Source organism: Homo sapiens, chromosome 14 (genome assembly GCF_000001405.40).
Source record: "Homo sapiens chromosome 14, GRCh38.p14 Primary Assembly".
In the NCBI taxonomy this organism is placed as follows: Eukaryota; Metazoa; Chordata; class Mammalia; order Primates; family Hominidae; genus Homo; species Homo sapiens.
In genome coordinates this window covers 76,775,135-76,791,939 of record NC_000014.9, presented here as the reverse complement: position 1 = coordinate 76,791,939, position 16,805 = coordinate 76,775,135, and the positions used below count along the sequence as shown (strand labels likewise).

The 16,805-nt window shown below is 52.8% G+C and overlaps 2 protein-coding genes and 1 long non-coding RNA gene across 14 annotated transcripts in view, besides 2 other annotated features; 2 read left to right on the top strand and 1 right to left on the bottom strand.

Annotated features, from left to right (window-relative positions):
- Window positions 1-5,931, top strand: part of ANGEL1 (angel homolog 1) — a 26,874-nt gene extending 20,943 nt beyond the window's left edge. For 2 of the 4 annotated variants that reach the window (NM_001370748.1, NM_001370746.1), the window contains 3 exons: window positions 574-643; window positions 1,166-1,329; window positions 5,348-5,931. In NM_001370748.1, the coding sequence (NP_001357677.1) occupies window positions 574-643; window positions 1,166-1,329; window positions 5,348-5,571 (458 nt within the window). In that variant the 3' untranslated portion in view covers window positions 5,572-5,931. Of the gene's footprint in view, window positions 1-573; window positions 644-1,165; window positions 1,330-2,551 lie in introns of all 4 variants that reach the window. The other 2 variants (NM_015305.4, NM_001370747.1) reach the window with 1 other exon arrangement.
- On the top strand, window positions 5,216-10,207 carry VASH1-AS1 (VASH1 antisense RNA 1). Of its 2 annotated transcripts, NR_104183.1 has the most exons (3): window positions 5,216-5,855; window positions 8,089-8,247; window positions 9,164-10,207. It is a non-coding gene; the product is annotated as a VASH1 antisense RNA 1 (long non-coding RNA). The 2 variants fall into 2 exon arrangements; NR_104184.1 differs by lacking the exon at window positions 8,089-8,247.
- Window positions 7,069-7,118: an enhancer, noted in NCBI's record as "active region_8772". NCBI's record gives its function as "activates an Ori minimal core promoter by ATAC-STARR-seq in GM12878 lymphoblastoid cells {active_cell/tissue: GM12878}" and the evidence as "EXISTENCE:reporter gene assay evidence [ECO:0000049][PMID:35858748]".
- The window catches only part of VASH1 (vasohibin 1), a 21,548-nt gene continuing 13,667 nt past the window's right edge, over window positions 8,925-16,805 (bottom strand). For all 8 annotated transcript variants that reach the window (XM_047431082.1, XM_047431084.1, XM_047431083.1 and 5 more), the window contains 3 exons: window positions 15,667-16,048; window positions 13,869-13,981; window positions 8,925-12,994 (listed from right to left, as the gene is read on the bottom strand). In XM_047431082.1, the coding sequence (XP_047287038.1) occupies window positions 12,922-12,994; window positions 13,869-13,981; window positions 15,667-16,048 (568 nt within the window). In that variant the 3' untranslated portion in view covers window positions 8,925-12,921. The remainder of the gene's footprint in view (window positions 12,995-13,868; window positions 13,982-15,666; window positions 16,049-16,805) is intronic.
- Window positions 15,443-16,401: an enhancer, noted in NCBI's record as "H3K4me1 hESC enhancer chr14:77241882-77242840 (GRCh37/hg19 assembly coordinates)". NCBI's record gives its function as "activates a minimal SCP1, AML or CMV promoter by ChIP-STARR-seq in primed H9 embryonic stem cells {active_cell/tissue: H9 hESC(primed)}" and the evidence as "EXISTENCE:reporter gene assay evidence [ECO:0000049][PMID:30033119]".

The window sequence follows — 16,805 nt, the reverse complement described above, 5'->3', positions numbered from 1 at the left end:
TCTTTCCTGATATTGGTAATTTGTATCTTCCTTTTTTAACATTCGTGTGTATGATATGTATGTGTGTGTGTGCTTATAGATGTATACATATATGTAATATGTATGTATATATACATGTATGCATACATGCATAGACACACACAATGGATGGTATGTAATAGAAAGTCTTTGAAGGAATATACCAGGAATTTGGTAACATTGGTGGCTTCTGGAGAGGGGAATTGAGTGGCAGAGGAGGACAAGTGAGAGGGAAACTTCACTGATACTTTTTGCTACATTTTGATTTTGTACCATGTGACTATATGACTTATTTTTTTTTAATCAAATTAAAGAAAAACAAAGGTGAGGAGCCACAGAAGACAATGTCTGTGTTAGATGCCCTACATCTGCTTTCTGAGGTTCTTGACTTTGGTTTATGGTCATCTTCTCCTCCTCACTGTTTCTCCCTTTCTCCTTCTGGATCCTTCTGAAGCAATCCAGTCAAGGATCTGAGAGGGATTTTAGGGTGAAAGGTTCTGATCCTGCTTCACTGTCTGTGGATGAGAAAATGTTTTTCTCTCTGGTCCTCTGCAGAGCGACCTGCGGGTTGGGCTGAGTCTGTCCTTGAGGAAGATGCATCGGAGCTTGAGCCTGCCTTCTCCAGGTAACCTTCTCCAGTTCTCTTCTGTTTTCAATCCAGCCCTTGCCTAGGTGTAAGAGAGAGATTCCCATTGGTTGTCCTGAGGTTGACTTGGGGGAGCACTTTTTGATAAGCTCTTTTTCCCCTAATATCTGCTAAACTTATAGAGGGTTATGTAGGTATGCAGAAGCCAGAGGTGACCCACCCATGTTACTGCAGGTGAAAAGGCTATGTACTCTTTCCTCAGAGGGTAAAGCCTCACAGAAGAGGCCTGGGCCCCAGACAGGGGTACATTGGGGATACTTTACCAGGTAACAAGCAGATAGTGGGGGATTAGGAGTGTTAGGGAGTCTCAGTACAAATGTGTGTTTCTAGGCTAATTTTAGCTAAGACTGCCAGCCCCTTCTTAGCATGGGGAGGAATTGGCTGAGATTGAGTCATCTGAGATCATCCTTTTAAAAAATCTTCATAAAACCCATAGAAAAAGTGATCTAGGGAAAATTTAGTAATTTTTGTTAACTAATGTTTCCCCCTTCATCCCTGTAGGACTGTAGGTACCATCCAGCACTGCCTCCACCTGACGTCAGTATATACCCACTTCCTGCCCCAGCGTGGCCGCCCAGAGGTCACTACAATGCCATTGGGTCTTGGAATGACAGTAGATTACATCTTCTTCTCAGCTGAGTCCTGTGAGAATGGGAACAGAACTGGTAAGCCTGATGGATCCTGGGTTCCTCCACCCCCAGGTCCCTGGGAACAGCTAATGGTAGGTCAGGCATTTGGTAGCATGTCTTCAGCTGCTGGGATTTAACCAGCAAAGGAGCAGATTTCATACCTCCCTTGCACTGGTCATCCTTATCATTCTCCCCATAGGCCACTTGCCTGCCTTGTCTCTTTTTACCCTTGCAGCATTAAAGAGAGGAGGGTAGGACAGTCACTCCCAATCCCCATTTTAGAGGTAAAAATAGAGATCTAGGAATTGGTTGAGTTTGTTTAATGACAGCCACTGAATGAGGGACTTGGTTAGGTAAGAGACCTTATTTTCTGTCTCCTCTCCCCATACCAGTGGGCACAGTATAGCAATCTCCCAGCCCCATGCCTGTATTGTGTAAAGAATGTTTCTTTTTGGCCAGGCATGTGTATTACTGTTATGGCCAGGCACGTGTATTACTGGTTCACACCGGTAATCCCAGCACTCTGGGAGGCCGAGGTGGGTAGATCACTTGAGGTTAGGAGTGAGACCAGCCTGGCCACATGATGAAACCCCGTCTCTACTAAAAATACAAAAAATTAGCCGGGTGTGGTGACGGTGTCTGTAATCCCAGCTGCTTGGGAGGCTGAGGCAGGAGAATCGCTTGAACTCGGGAGGCAGAGGTTACAGTGAGCCGAGATCGTGCCACTGCACTCCAGCCTGGGCAACAAGCGTAAAACTCCGTCTTAAAAAAAAAAAAAAAAAAAATTAGCCAGGCATGGTGGCGGGTACCTATAATCCCAGCTACTCAGGAGGCTGAGGCAGGAGAATCGCTTGAACCCGGGGGTCAGAGGTTGCAGTGAGCTGAGATTGCGCCACTGCACTCCAGCCTGGACAACGAAGTAAGACTCCATCTAAAAAAAAAAAAAAAAAAATCAGATTTTATATAGAAAAGCTGGATCTCTAGCTTCTCTTGGAAAATCAAAAGATCTTATAATGGTGGGCTCTCCAGCTTGCCCCAGTTCCCCGGAACTCACCTGTCTTTATTCGTTGATGATATTATGGAGTATCTCTGAGAAAATGGGGCCTCCTCAGCCAGATGCTGCAAGAGGAGGTGAGGGGCAGTGGGCAGCCAAGGGGATGCAGCCTGCAGAAGGCGTTCCCAAAGGACTCTGCCACTGCCTGCCCATGCAGTGTGGCTGCGGCTGCTTTTACCCATTGGCTTCTGCTTTGTGCCCCAGATCACAGGCTGTATCGAGATGGAACTCTCAAGCTCCTGGGTCGTCTCTCCCTTCTCTCTGAAGAGATACTCTGGGCTGCCAATGGCTTACCCAACCCCTTCTGCTCTTCAGACCACCTCTGCCTGCTAGCCAGCTTCGGGATGGAAGTCACCGCCCCATGACAGGGCTCCCAGGGGAAGAGAGCTTCTCTTCCAGAAGAGCTCACTGGATCAGAGACTGTGGAAAAATCCCATGCATCTAGAAACTTAGATCCAAGAAACTTACATCCCCTCCCTTCCCCCTCCTCGTTCCCTTTTTCCCACGGTTAGACTTTCTCCAGGCCTGGCTGCGTTCTCTGCCTGTGGTCCTTGCCCCACCCCAGCCTCTTCCTAATCCTGTGCCACACACTCAGTGGCCCTGGGAGAGGCAGAAGGGGGGCTCCCCCTTCCTTCCATGTATCCAGCGCTCCCCCTTGATTTTTAATTACCAGGGTTATGGGAGTTCTTGATTTCATTGGTTATTTGCTTTCAGGCCGTTTCTTGATGTACCTTCTGACCTGACCTTTTCCCTGCCTTCAGGACTTCTGGGCCCAGCCCTCTTGCCAGGCATGCATATGTGAGATATGCATATCATGTATGTGTCCTCTTGGGGTGAGACTTCTGCACAGCCATGCCTGCCTCTGACCAGTCCACTTTTCATGTTGGGGCTGTAGGCCTGGGGCAGGTTCAGAGTCTACCCAAGTACCTATGTATGAGCAGGCAGCAGCAGGGCATGGCCCCATCTCTCCTTTTAGCCTCTGTGTTTCATTAGGCATTCATCCTGCCAACCAGGGCAGGCCCGGCGTCTGGGCTCTGGGAACAAATGGGGCCCACATCCTGGAGTGGCAAATTTTGGGGGATGCGCTACCTGTCCCAGCTGGCCCTGTGCCTCCAACCCAGAGCTCCCCACAGACCTGGTGTAATTTCACAAGGGCCATCCCTTTCCCCAGGCTTCCCTGAGGGAGGCGGAAGTTTGAACCCTTATGTGGGGTTCATTGGGCTAGGGTAGTGGTATGAGGTTTAAAACTATTTAAGGATTAGGAGGAGAAAGAGTCTTCAGGAAACTCTTGTTTCACTGGACTCTGCAGCCTGCAGAACTGGGGCAAGGGTAGGAGTTCCAGTAGGGGAAGGAGCAGGTAGACTCTTCAGCTGCCTCAGCTGGGACTGAAGACCTAAGCTGATTCTCTTTCCTCTCCACTCCTAAGAAGCAATTTTCTGTTCCTCTCCTTCCACCACTTTTTACTTTCTGCTATCTCCCATCTCCCGCTTCCCTTCCATTTCCTTTCTAGAAAACCCTGGTATTTAGCTCAGGCCAAACTGCCTCAGCAGAAAGGTGGCCTTGGACAAAACTGGTCCAAGAATTTGAAGTGGCAGTACTTGCGGATTGGCTCTGTCCAGCAAGGCCTCAGCTGCTTGTTGCGTCTGCTTTCCCTCCCCTAACAGAAGGGTACCCTGGCTTATTCAGGGGACTCCTTAGTCCACACTGTGTCACCTGCATGCCTTAATCTTTCATTGCTGGGGTGTGGCCTTGGGAGATCCTGGGCCAGCCCCTCCACACATCTCCCTAAGTCAGAGTGGCTGCTGGCCCTGGTAGATTTGACTTGCTCTTGCCTCACTCGACCTCCAAAGTGGGACTGAAGACAGTGGTCAAGAGACTTGAGTTCGGGACAGTAAGCCAGGGGTTAAGGTTCTTTCCTTTTTTTGAAAGCCAAAGACCCAGTTTGCATTGTGCTGCTGCATTCATGGTTAGAAGCTTTCCATGCCTAGGTTCTAGGGAATTTATTTTTCTATGTGTATATATTTTCAAACTTTGTTTCCTGGGTACTGGGCATGTGCCTGTCTGAGCCCCAGGTCTGTCTACACCCCACCATTCATTCTGTCTGTCTGTTCCCTGGACACTGCCTAAAAGGGTCTCAAGACAGTGCCCTGTGGGTTCCTAGGACTAGGGCCCATCACTGTTCTCTTCTGCTGGGAAATGCAGCTTTAAAATGGCTAACCACAGCAGAGGGCAGATGCTTGATAGATTATCTTTTCCTTGCTTTCTTGTTTCTGTTTTGAAAGTGAAATGGGGTTTTAAATTGTTATTTAAACTCTTTTTCCAAATAAAGGTTTACCTTTTTTCCCCCCAATGTTGTTCATTTTATTAGGATCCTGAAGGGATTAGGTCCTTGAGAGAGGGCCTGAAGAATGAGGTGGGCAGAGGAAGAGACTAAGGAGCTTTTGATCTTGGGGTGGGGTCTCAAGACATGAATCTAGATTGAGAAATGTGTTGTAAGATCTCCCTCTATTAGCTGAGGTAAATTCCCACTGCTGTGAGGCCTGGGAGGAACAGGGCTTGAGTGAAGCCTCCTGCCTTGACACTGCTGGGGTACAGCTTTCTTCTGTCCTTCCCAAGTGAGAGAATGATTCTTTGGACTGCTTTTCATTCTTCCTCCATCTGCTCCCCCCATGCCTCCTCCTAGTATCTTCTGCACTTCAGGAGGGTCTGTGCAAAGTGGGATAAGATGTGTGTTTTCCTGATTAAAGCTATGGCAGCTGCATGAGACATGATGCGGGTGGCACATGCCTCTTGCTGAGCATCTATTTCTGATCTCTTTTGCATTCTGGAGCCAGGGCTGAGCAGTGGGCCATCTGTCGCTGGAAAAATGTCTCTTCCTTCCTAGGCCTACCTCTGTTGGTGCTTTTGTCTTCCAACCTCCCTATGTAGTAAGACCAGCCAAGCCCACATGCCCACTGGGAGCCCTGAAACCAGATCTGGTTTTCTGTCTTACCTGAACAGGTTCCCAGAACCCACACCAGGCCTCTGAATCAGTCTCTGAGAATCTGATTGATTTAAAGCCACTTGGTTGCTTCCATTGCACTACCTGGGTTGCGATCCCCTCAATTGATTTAGTAAAAAGAAAACTTAGCGGCCGGGTGCGGTGGCTCACACCTGTAATCCCAGCACTTTGGGAGGCTGAGGCGGGTGGATCACCTGAGGTCGAGAGTTCCAGACCAGCCTGACCAACATGAAGAAATCCCGTCTCTACTAAAAATACAAAATTAGCCGGGCGTGATGGCGCATGCCTGTAATCCCAGCTACTTGGAGGCTGAGGCAGGAGAATTGCTTGAACCTGGGAAGCGGAGGTTGTGGTGAGCCGAGATCATGCCATTGCACTCCAGCCTGGACAACAAGAGTGAAACTCCATCTCAAAAAAAAAAAAAGAAAAGAAAAGAAAAGAAAGAAAACTCAGCTAGGAATTAGAAACATCATTTGTCCTCTTGGCCTGTTCAGCTGGTGACTGTAGGTAAGTTACTTAACCTCTCTGTATTTCAGTTCACATTCCTTGGTGAAATAGAAATTAAAGTTAATAATCACTTCTACTTGTGAAGAATTTTCAGATCTGAAATTGCTTTGTTTGGGCTTTGGCAAGAAAAAGGTGCTAAGAATTCCAGAGAATTATTGGTAGGAGTTGGGAGTAGATCGTTACCCCAGCCAGGCTGGACAGTTGGGCCCATTGGCTAGGAAGTATTTGAAAGCCCTAAGCTTTGAGGTATATCCCCAAGAACCTCTTCCTGGCAGGGAGGGTTCCTCCTAGTTGCCTCAGTCAGTTAGCATCTCCACAGCACTTCTGTTAAGTTTGCACAGTACTTCCACGTCAGCTAGCAAAGACAGTGGCACTGTGTGGTGGCAGTTTAGGTGGTGTTCAGATTCTACCTTTACACCTGAGGAAACAGAAATCCCAGAGATAGAATTTGAGAATCTCCTTTGGTTTATTTCTTACCACCCCAAGTTTCTCACAAGCCTTTCCAGGATCAGGCAAGACAGGTTATCTTGGAAGGCAGAGGCTGGTGGTGGGGGCCTGGGGCTGGGGGAGCTCAGAGGCAGCTTTTAACTGGAGACCAAGAAGGGAAATGGCCAGTCAGGAGGCTGCTGCTTTTTTTGTTTTGTTTTTCTCTCCAGTTCCTGCCCTGTTGTAGCTACTAACTAGAGGAATGTTCTGGTTGTTTTGTTTTTCCTTTTTAAAATTGACATGTGATAGTTGTACATATTTTGGGGCTGCATATGGTATTTTGATACATGCGTACAAAGTGTAATGACCAGTCAGGATATTTAAGGACATTTATCACCTCAAGCATTTATCTTTTCCTTGTGCTGGGAACATTCCAATTCTTCTAGCTATTTTGAAATATACAATAAATTGTTAACTATAGTCTCCCTACTGTACTATCAAATACTAGAACTTAGTCCTCACCATATTTTTGTACCATCCACCTGCTCTTCATTCTCCTCCCCTGCTTTTCCCAGCTTCTGGTAACCCCATTCCGCCCTCTATTGGAGGGTTGTGTTTTGATTGGCTGCGAAATGCACAGTGTGGCTTCTCTTCTCCCAGGAGTGGGAGGGGCCACCTCTAGGGTCCACCAGGGGGAGCTGCCCTGCAGCCCTGGGCTCCCATCACTCTGGTCCATCCCCTCTCCTCTCCCTCCTGAGCAAATGTGCTAGACAAGACTGTTCCAGGTATGGGCCAGCCAGATGGCAGCATGGTGGTGAGGGTGCAGATCTGCTGGAAGCAAGAGAATGTGGACTTCATGGGTTGTGGAGGGAACTCTGCACTTCTGTCCCATCCCCAGTCAGCTCCTATGACCCTAAGGCCTGAAGCCTCAGCTCGCTGTGGAGAGAACAGAGCCTACACTTAAAATTCTTGGAGGTTTTGTGCTTCCAACAACCAAGTCCTTTCAGGCTCAGGGTTGGAAAAAGTTTGTATATCTGTGTGCACATTGTCATTTGGACGGGGCTCAGAGAGGTGACCTGCCAGCTGACCTGACGTGGCCTCTCCTCATCTTCTGCCAGGCCTCAACAGCTGGTCCCCTCACCTTGCTGGCAGACACTAAGGGTTACAGGCAGCCTGCTTCTGGGCCATTCTGCTTGGTTCTTGGTATGACTGCTTCCTGTCACTACCTCCACGGTAGTGGTCCAAATGCCAGCTCCTGGTAAATGGGGCAGCAGAGCTTCAACCCCTTCATCGTCAGGCCTCTGAGAAGGGCCACCTGCACCCAAAGGTCTAACCCAGTTAGTCAGGTGCCTAAATTAGGCAGGTGCGTGCTGTGAGCCTGAGGAATGGGACAGCAGGAAATGAGGTAACCCCTTCCACCCCCAAGCAGGTCGGGTTCTGATCCTCCAGGAGTCTGCAATGACATTTCCTTCTGCTTTCTAAGAAAATGGCCAGTGTCCACAAAGAGCCTACCTGACTCATTACGTAGATTCTCACCCCAGCACTTACTTACCCAGCCCCTCATTTGTACAAGAGCAGGCCAGGGGCCCCACTGTGTATGAACCTGTCTTGTTGAAGCCTGAGGCCCTTTACTTGGTATCATATCAGCTGGACTTAAATATGAAAATTACAACACTGCGTCTATGAAAGGGTGTGCAATGCAAGGTATTCATAAATTCTGGTTACTTTGAAGTGCTTTTTTTGGGTAATGCTTTAGCTGGATTTAAAGGAGCCTGTAACAAAACTGCCTCCGTTTACTGGTGTACAGTCCCAGATGTCTATGGATTCCTGCGGGTCACCTCTCCTTTTCCTGCTGCCATGCCTCCTCCTCCCCTGGTCACTACCACACCACTGAAAATGAGGGGGTCTTGGCGGTGCGAAGCTACACTTCTAGCCACGATCTTGTGGGGACTGGCTGGGATGAAAAGTAAGAAATACACTGTTTCCTCTCTCACAGGTCTGGGTTTTACCCTTAAGCTGAATGAAAGGAGAGCTGAGACAAGGGCAGGAAGGGTTATGGGTGAAATATGCTGTGAAATCCAAAAGATATTTTCTGTGCAAGTCTGGTTTCAACTGTTTGGGCTTGTCTGAAAGTGTGGGAAGAGGTCCAGAGCTGGAGGGACAACAGAGAGGAAGAGTGGGGGGTGACGGATGGGACCCGAAGTGTTTTCCACCCCATGGGTTCTGGATGTCAAGTGATGAGAAGGTTGCTACGGTTTCCTGAGCTACACTCATCTCCCAGGAGAACATGCCCCATTTCTCCTTTGCTCCTGATGGACTGCTGTGGACTGAGACTGGAAGAGCAGGGTCCTGGAATACATCCTGGGTGCTAACTTGAGCCTCTGGAGGCCAGGCCCACTGTGTGAAGAGGGGGAAAGCACTGCTCACAGATCAGGGTTAACAAGGCCTGAGGGGCTTCAGCAGGCTGAGGAAGTCTGGAACCCCAGAAGTTTCATCATGACTGCAGGCGCTGGGAGGTTTCCTGTTCCCTGGCTTCAGGCTCACCTCAGGTCAGGCTCTTCCCAGAGCCAATGGGGCTAATGCCGCTGGGCTGGGGGAGGGCTCGGGCCCCAGCTCCAAAGGAAAGGAGACAAGGCTTACGTGTTGTGGTTTCTGCCCAGCCTACACAGCAGGAGCTGGGGAGACTTTATTCGTTTCGGGGAAAGTGACAACAGGAATGAGATGAAGTGTGAAAGTGAAAGGAAGGGGCAATACTGAGATGAGAACAGCCTGAACAAAGTCTAGTACAACACTGCAGCCATCCAGAGCTTGAGGGAGCGGGGAGGTCCATCACCACCAGGCCCTGTGGGCCAAGCACACCCATGTTTCTTCTCTCTTGTCAGATTTGATGAAAAGGAAACTTGGGACTCCGGAGGACCAAGATGGAGCGAGACGGTCAATACTGATGGACTTGCAGCTAGCACCATGGCAGCCCTGCCTGGTCTAAGGAAGCTGGCAGGAGGCGATGGTACCTGGCGGGGGCAGACTGCCCACCTCCCCACTCCTTCAGAGGACTGTTTCCTGCCCTTCACACCATCATCATGTTGGGCCCTGCATGTATGTTCCTGCACTTGGAGCGAGCCCAGGGACACAGGGCAGACACTGGGCTCACAGATGTTGCTGCAGCTGAGCCAGAAAACATTCCAGGCAGGAAAAGCAGGTGCACACATTCACACAGGCCTCTGGTCACTCGACCAGCCAGAATGAGACGGACTCCTTGACCTGGGAAGTCAAGTCCCAGTGGGAAGGGCTGGAAATCACACGTGGTCAACTTCTTGGCTCTCTCTGCTCCCCAAACCCTGGCCCTAGGCTTGCTTTATCATCACATCCCAAGGCCAGAGGGCTGCTGCTGTCCCCATCTTGGCCCTGCTAGAAGAGGGATAGGGGTGGCTGGCATGATGGGTGAGGGGAACATGAGAATATGCAGAGGCCTTGGAGGAAGAGGACTGGCAGTTATGACAGGAAGGCTCTCTATACCTGGCTCCCCAGTGTTCTGCCCCTGGCACTGAGCATGAGGAGCCAGGCTTTGGGGAGACTTTGCAATCACCCCCCCAACCTGGTCCATTTTCCACAGGTAGCTTTCTTGAACTCACCTTGACCCCTCCTCAGCCAGCAGCCCCCACCTCCAGGGGCAAAGGAGCTGAAAGACAGTCCTGAACTGGGGGGAGCTGGGATCACATCAGCCAGGCCCTGTCCCTCACAGGAAGTGAGATGAGGTGATACCATGGATGGTGACTAAGGCCCCAAAGTCCCTGCCTCTCTGCCTCCCCAGAAACCTCACAGCCAGGCCAGCCCCCAGAGCAGAGCCTGTGTAAACATGCCCAGGAGGGGAGGAGGGGTTGCTACATATGAGAAACAGTTAAAAATAAATTTAAAAAGCACCACTATGTCCTGTGCTGGTCTCCACAGCCCCGAAGTCTCAGCTCAGGAAGGGTGAGTGCTGGGGGATTATCAGCTGGGGCTCGGCTCCCTCCCTTGCAGACAGCAAGCAGGTAAGGGCTTCATTTTGCTGTTTTCTCCATGGAGGGCTCTGGGAAAGGATCCTGCAAGTTGGAACCTCCTAAGACTCCAGAACCAGGAGCGGCTCCCTCTCATATCTACTCCCCTCAAACCCTGTCATTCCCGGGAAGCTCCCAGAGGCAGCTGAGGCCACGCCCCTGCTCCTGAGCGGCAGCATCCAGACCCGGAAAGGACCTAGTTTCAGCCTGGCACCTCCCAAGGTGAGCCATCTCTTCTTAGGCATAGTAGGAACATGGAGACCACACTACCCCCACTCCCTGAAAGCTGGGATGGGATGGTGAGTCAAGGGTCACCATGCCCCTATTAGTCTGGCTGGAGTTAGGTTAGGCATCCTCCCAGGGCTCATTGACCCCAGGGGGAACTTGGGGAGGCAAGGGACTGACCAGCTGGCCTCCCAGGGTGCCTCTGGCCAGGCCATGCTGGATCTGGCTCTGGGTCAAGCGCTGCTGGTTTGAAGAGCTGCCAGCCTGTGGCGCCTTCCCTGACAGGCACTCTCATCAGCAAAGGCATCCCTGGTTCTGCCTTCCCTTCCTCTTTGCTTCAAAGGCACCATCCGTCTCCCTGGCAGGCCAAGAGCTACACTGTCTGTACTCCATGCGCCACCCCCGCTGGTGACCCAGCAACTGCAAAGGGCCTCTGGTTTGTCCCGCTCTGGGAGGAGACTCAGTGGCTTTTCCTCCTCCTCAGCTGCAAGGATCCTACCCCAGCCCAGCCCAGCTCTGAGAAACAGGACTTTGCTACAGCCCGCCTCAAAGCATCTTGGTGGACTTCTCCCCAGCACGAGCTCTCTCTACTTCAGGGATTGCAAACTGGCATCCTCTTTTGCCAGTATTGGGTTTTTAAGTTTTTTTTAAGTGATCACCAGCATTTAAAAATCCTATTTCACATAAAAAGTCAGAATTCTGGCCTCTGACAAAGCAGACAATCTGGCAACACAGGGCCGGCACTGTAAGAACAGCTGAGCAGCTGTGGCCCCTTTAACAGGGTGTGCCCTCTTCAGGTAGCCATAGTCCCCACACAGCCCTTCAGGCCTCCTTCTCACCGTTTGCTCGTCATTTGAGCTTACAACCCTAGTTCTGCTCTTCCTTGTGTAGCCCCCCAGCCCTTCTGCAGCCTTACTGACAGCTGTCCCTGGCAGACTTACAGCCTCTCAGTAAAACAAAACCTTAATGGTCATCTCATCCGTTTACCCTTCCACAATCTGAATCCTTTCTACCTTTCTACCGCCTCCTGACAAACAGCCATCTCGTCTCTGCTGTAGGTAACCCATTACTCCTCAAGCAGCCTGATCCTGAACTCTCCCCCACATCCCTTTCTCACTTGCATCCCCCAGTTCCCAGCTGTCCCTCAGTGGCTGCACTGCACCCTTTACCTGCACCTCCTTGTTGCTTGAGCCTCCAGAACCTACCCCTGGCTCTGCCAACCTCTCCGCATCCTCTCACTTTCCCACTGGGTATCTCATGCTGACGGGCAGGCTGGGGACAACCCCAGGTGCCTAGGTTCTTCCCTGCCAGGGCCCTGATGCCCTGCCACAAGTGACTGGCCCAGCCATCATTGCAACCCCAAGCCAAGATGGGCTGTTAAAGAATGGAAGGCAGGCCTGGGGCAGAAGCATCCTAGTCTGGTCTTGATTTCCCCAGCAAGGGCTCCTGGCACTGCTGGCGGAGAGACCCAGGCCCAAGCATCCCGCCCCATCACCCCATGTCCAGCCACAGCTCCTGGACTGGCACCCAGGGTTTGCTCAACTCCCACAGCCATGCTGGCCTCAGTGCCATTCTGGGTCCTCCGCCAAGCCCAGACCCTCCGCAGGGAGCCTGTGGGCTAGAGCAACAGGCAGAGCTGGGACTGAGCAAGTAGACGCAGTTAGGGCCTGGGAACTTTTTGCCCAGAGGTCCTTCCCTGGGCTCGCTCTCATATCACCCCTCCTCTGCCCACACAGCACTGCCCATGGGGGCCTCAAGGGCCTGAAGGCTCTCCTGAGCCACGAGCTCATGCTCTTGGGGCAGATGTGGCCTGTGCCAAGCTCCTGGTTAATGGGCTACACAGACCTTTCTCAGAAGGACTCCTACCCTGCTTCCCTTTCCCTGGGTCAAGATTCTGCCAGGGCAGGCAGAACTGGAGAAACATCTCCACCCCACCCCCACCCCCCATCACAGGCCTGGTAAGGCTGGGAGATTTCCCACTGATAAGATGCACCCAACTCCCAGAGAGAAGCCAGGGGCAGAGGCACCAGCAGAACCAGCAGTTTCCCTCACCTGGCCCCATGACACATGGATTTGTTAAGCACTGGCCTTCCCACCATCAGCAGATCCATTTGGACTAAGTTTTCCCCAAATACCTTAAACTTCAGTTGTAGAGTTAAAAACTCCAAATAAAATACTAACGGCCTCTAGGCCCAAAGTTAGGGGGCTTGGCTCAGTGGGAGCGAGAGCAGCTTGGGGGGCTGAGCTGGAACACACTCTTCCTGCAGCCTCTTGCCCTGCCTTGTCACCAGCCCCGCCTTCCCCATGCATAAGGCTGGTTCCAGCAGGTGGATCCTGGCCCCCAAGAGTGGGTGGGGCCTGGGGTGCTGGCATCCGCCTCAGACCCGGATCTGGTACCCGTTAAGGTCTGGCATGGCTTTGGGCTCGGAAGTCTTCTTGTCACCCGAGGGCCTGTGGGAGGAAGAGAGCAGAGCGGGAGGAGAGTGAGTGGTCTGTTAGGGAGATGGAGTTGGGGAGCCAGCAGCGGCTGCCTGGTGGCTTCCCCGCCACATTCTCCAAGTGGCCCTCCAACGCACAGCACAGTGCGTATGGAAGTGTGTTTTTGGACACCCTGGCCCGCCTGTGCTGTCTGAATGTGGCCCCGGCTCGCTCTCACAGGCTTTCTCGCTGCTGGAGGCTGGCTAATCTGGCTGCAGTTGGTAGGTAACAGCTTAAAGTATAAATCTGTCTGAGGGGAATCTGTCATCTACAAAAGCCTCTTAGATAAAAGTCACAGATGATGGATATTTTGGTGCCAGAGGCCTGCTTAGTACCCCACCCCTGAATTCATACCAGAGAGGTGGCTCCTGAATGACAATTATATTTAAAGCAAGAGTCAGAGTGATGTGTAGGAGCTGAAATCAGAGGAGGAGAGCTGGTATTTCAATGGCTTGTTCTTGCTACCTGGATACAGACAAAAACCAGACTCTTGGGTGGGGGGCAAAGTTATGTTCAAAGCCATCTAATATTCACGCCCTCCCCCATGACATTCCTGGGTGGCTCACTGCCTTGCAGGGGCCCCATCCTTTCTACCTTTTCTCTCACATAACCCATGCTCAGACTAGTGGGCTAGCAGAGTTTGGTTTCTCTGGGGAAGTAGAACTGCCTTGCTGTGGGAAATGTCAATACACAAACCTCTAAACCCACCATCCCAAGTCACCTCCCTTGGGTGGGAGCGAAAAAGAGAGAAGGGTGGGAGAGAGATAAAAAAAAAAAGGGACCCACACGATGAGAGGAAAGGAAAAAAACCCTCTTTGGACCCACCCAGGCGTGGTCCCTCTCTCACCGTCTTTCACTGCGGCTGTTCCTGCGGTGGGGGCTGGACTGGGCCCGCTGCGGGGAAGAAACATCCTTCTTCCGGTCCTTGGTGGGAGAGGGAGGGCCCGTCCCTTTGCCAATCTAGGTGCAGAGGAGGAAGCAACAGCATCACTCCAGGACTGCCCTGGAGCCCAACCTCTCCTTCCAGGAGCCACAGGTCCCTGGAGGCTGCCCTGGGGAAGGCCCGGGGAACCTCAAGCATGGCTCTTCCCTGTCTGGATCTTTCCCAACCTATTTCCCAGGCACTAAAGCTGCCAGAGCAGGAGTTCCTCCATGGGGCTGTCCAATCCCTGTGGGCTCCTGAAGGCAGAGTGGAAGTGGGGGAAGTCACTGAGATACCATAATATTGCAAAAAGTCCCCAACAAAGGCCAGGTAAACGTGCCAGTTGTGGGAGCAGCCCACACTGAACTTGGGGCTGAGATCCCACTCACCCCAAGGGTGATGCTGGGTATCTCCAGCCATTGAGAAGTCAGACTGGTAGCTTTAGCTCTGCTTAAGAAAAAAATGAGAAAAACAAAAGAGTCATCCTTTATATGGCACCGTCAGCTTGACTTGAGTTTTCAAAACGCAGGAGTGCTGGAGAGGGGCAAGTAACACAGGTGAGTGTTTAGCACTGAATAGGCTGGGAATCCATCACAGCTCTAAACACTAGGGAACTGTTGGCTCTCACCCTAGATCCAATCTGATGCCTTAAAGACACAATAGCAAACTGAGGAGCAAGAGCCAGGGTGCTGGGGGACCCAGAGCTAGGTGGGGAGCGGCAGCTCAGGGGCAGAAGAGAGCAGCCCCTCTCTAACGCAGGGTTGGCTGCAGCCTGCCTCTGCCCTAGGGGAAGGCACTGTCACCCCAGGAGATCTTGGCCTAGGGCTGGCAATGGCTAGGGCAGCCGTAGCTCTTACAAACCCCTGCCAGGACACCTGCAGGCACCTGCAACACACCTGGGTTCCCCATCACCCCATCAGGAGGCTGAGCTCCAGTCTGATCTGCCTCTCACTGCCAGTGAGCAAGACTCTGGGCTTCCAACCCTGAAAATGGAGCTACCACCTACCGCCCGCTGGCCTCCCAGGGCTGTCAAGAGAAGCAGTGCACTTGGGAGTGCAGAGGTCGGTGGTTGAGGCGGAGGCTCCAGGCTGCCTGGAGGGGCAGTCACAGTGCAGCAGTGACTGAGCTATGGAGATACCCAGCAGGGGGCCCTGGCAGCCCCAGGAGAACCCAGGCAGATGTCAGAATTCTGCCTGCTGAAAGGCTCTAGGGCTCAACAGCTCAGCCCAGCTGTTTTTGGTACAACAGCCCCCAGCCCAACTCCCTATCACCTCCTGCTCAAGTGTGGGTGGGAAGAGGAAGAAGGAACACTGCCCTCATTGTCTTCCACATGGTCTGACTTCCCTTTCTTCTGACCACCTCCTAGTCCTTTAATGGTTGCTAGGGTTGGGGGGCAGAGTCAGGATATGTTACAGGAGGAGTGGGGAGGCTGCCCATCACAGCACCCGATCACACCCTCCAGACAGGCCGTGATTCTCCACCAGTGACCTTGCCATGTGCCCAACACCTACCACCATCCAAACCCAGCCCACCCACCTCCTCCCTCCGCAGCCGTCCTGGTCTGCCCACCCCAGGGGACCACCTGAACAATATCGACCACTAAGCAAGGTCCCAGCACCCCAGTCCCCTGAGAAGCTCCCCAGTCCTCTCAATCCTCACATCGCCTCTGCTGGGGCGGGGGAGGGGGCGAGGGAGGGGGCGAGGGCGTGGAAGGCGGGCAGACCTTGAGCCGCATGTCGCGGGCGTGGCGCTCCAGCTCCTTGCGGAAGTCATCGCGGCCCAGGCGCTCCACGTCCAGCACCGAGTGCTTCCACTCGATCTGCTCCACGCTGTGCGGGTCGTGTGACACGCTCTGGCCCAGCTTCACCTTCTTGAGCACGTGCCAGCAGCGGCCGTAGGCGGCCTCGAAGTCCAGCACGAGCTCGCTGAGCGTGCGGAAGGCGGGCGGCTTGTACATCAGGTCCTCGCGCCGACTCATGCCCAGCGCACCGTAGCGGCCCGCGAAGTTCACCCCCAGCACGATGTGGCGGAAGTAGTTCCCTGAGAAGTAGGTCTTGAAGCTGATGGGGAAGCGCTCCAGGGTGGGCATGCTGTTGGTGAGGTAACTGGCCAGTGCCCCGCTAAGGAAAGAGCCAGGAGAAGCACGGGGCCAGCACACCGGGAGGGACTGGGACCGGGAGCCACGGGGTCCACGCACCGCCAGCCTTGGGGTGCAGACACCAGTCCTGCTCATCTCCATACGCCTGGCGTCTCCTCCTGGTATTCCTGCCATCTAGCATTGAGCCTGGTATCCAGCTGGAGCTCAATAAAGGGAACCTCGAATAGGCACGGGGCTTCCAGGGATTTGTGGCCACCGCTCTGAAGTCCAGCAGGGCTGGTGCCACACTGCAGGGCTTTCCAGAGCCCAGTGGCCCAAGGACGGAAGAGAAGCCTTCCCTCCCCTGCCTCACTCCCTCGCCCTCCATCCCGCACCTTGGCACACACACAGGCCACAGACGCGGCTTCACTCTTCTCTTACCCTCACCCTGTCCTCTCCCCATATCCACATGCAACCCTGCCTGTGGCCCTTCAAATACAATCACGTGTACTACTGAGGCCTGGGAGGTGCCCCCAGCCAGCCCCAGGCCCACTCCCACTTCCTACACCTCTGCCCCACCTGCTCACCTCTCCAGCCCCCGGGGCCTCCCACCTGAGTTTCTCACACCGGCCTTTTCCCCTGCCTGCCAAAGTTGGCTGCTGCTCAGGACTGAAGCTGAGCCTGCGCCACCGTCCACCTCCTCCACGGCACTCTCACCATGACCAGTGTTTACTGCTTCTTTTTCCTTACTTGCTTATTTTGTCTCCTCCACTAGAATGCAAACC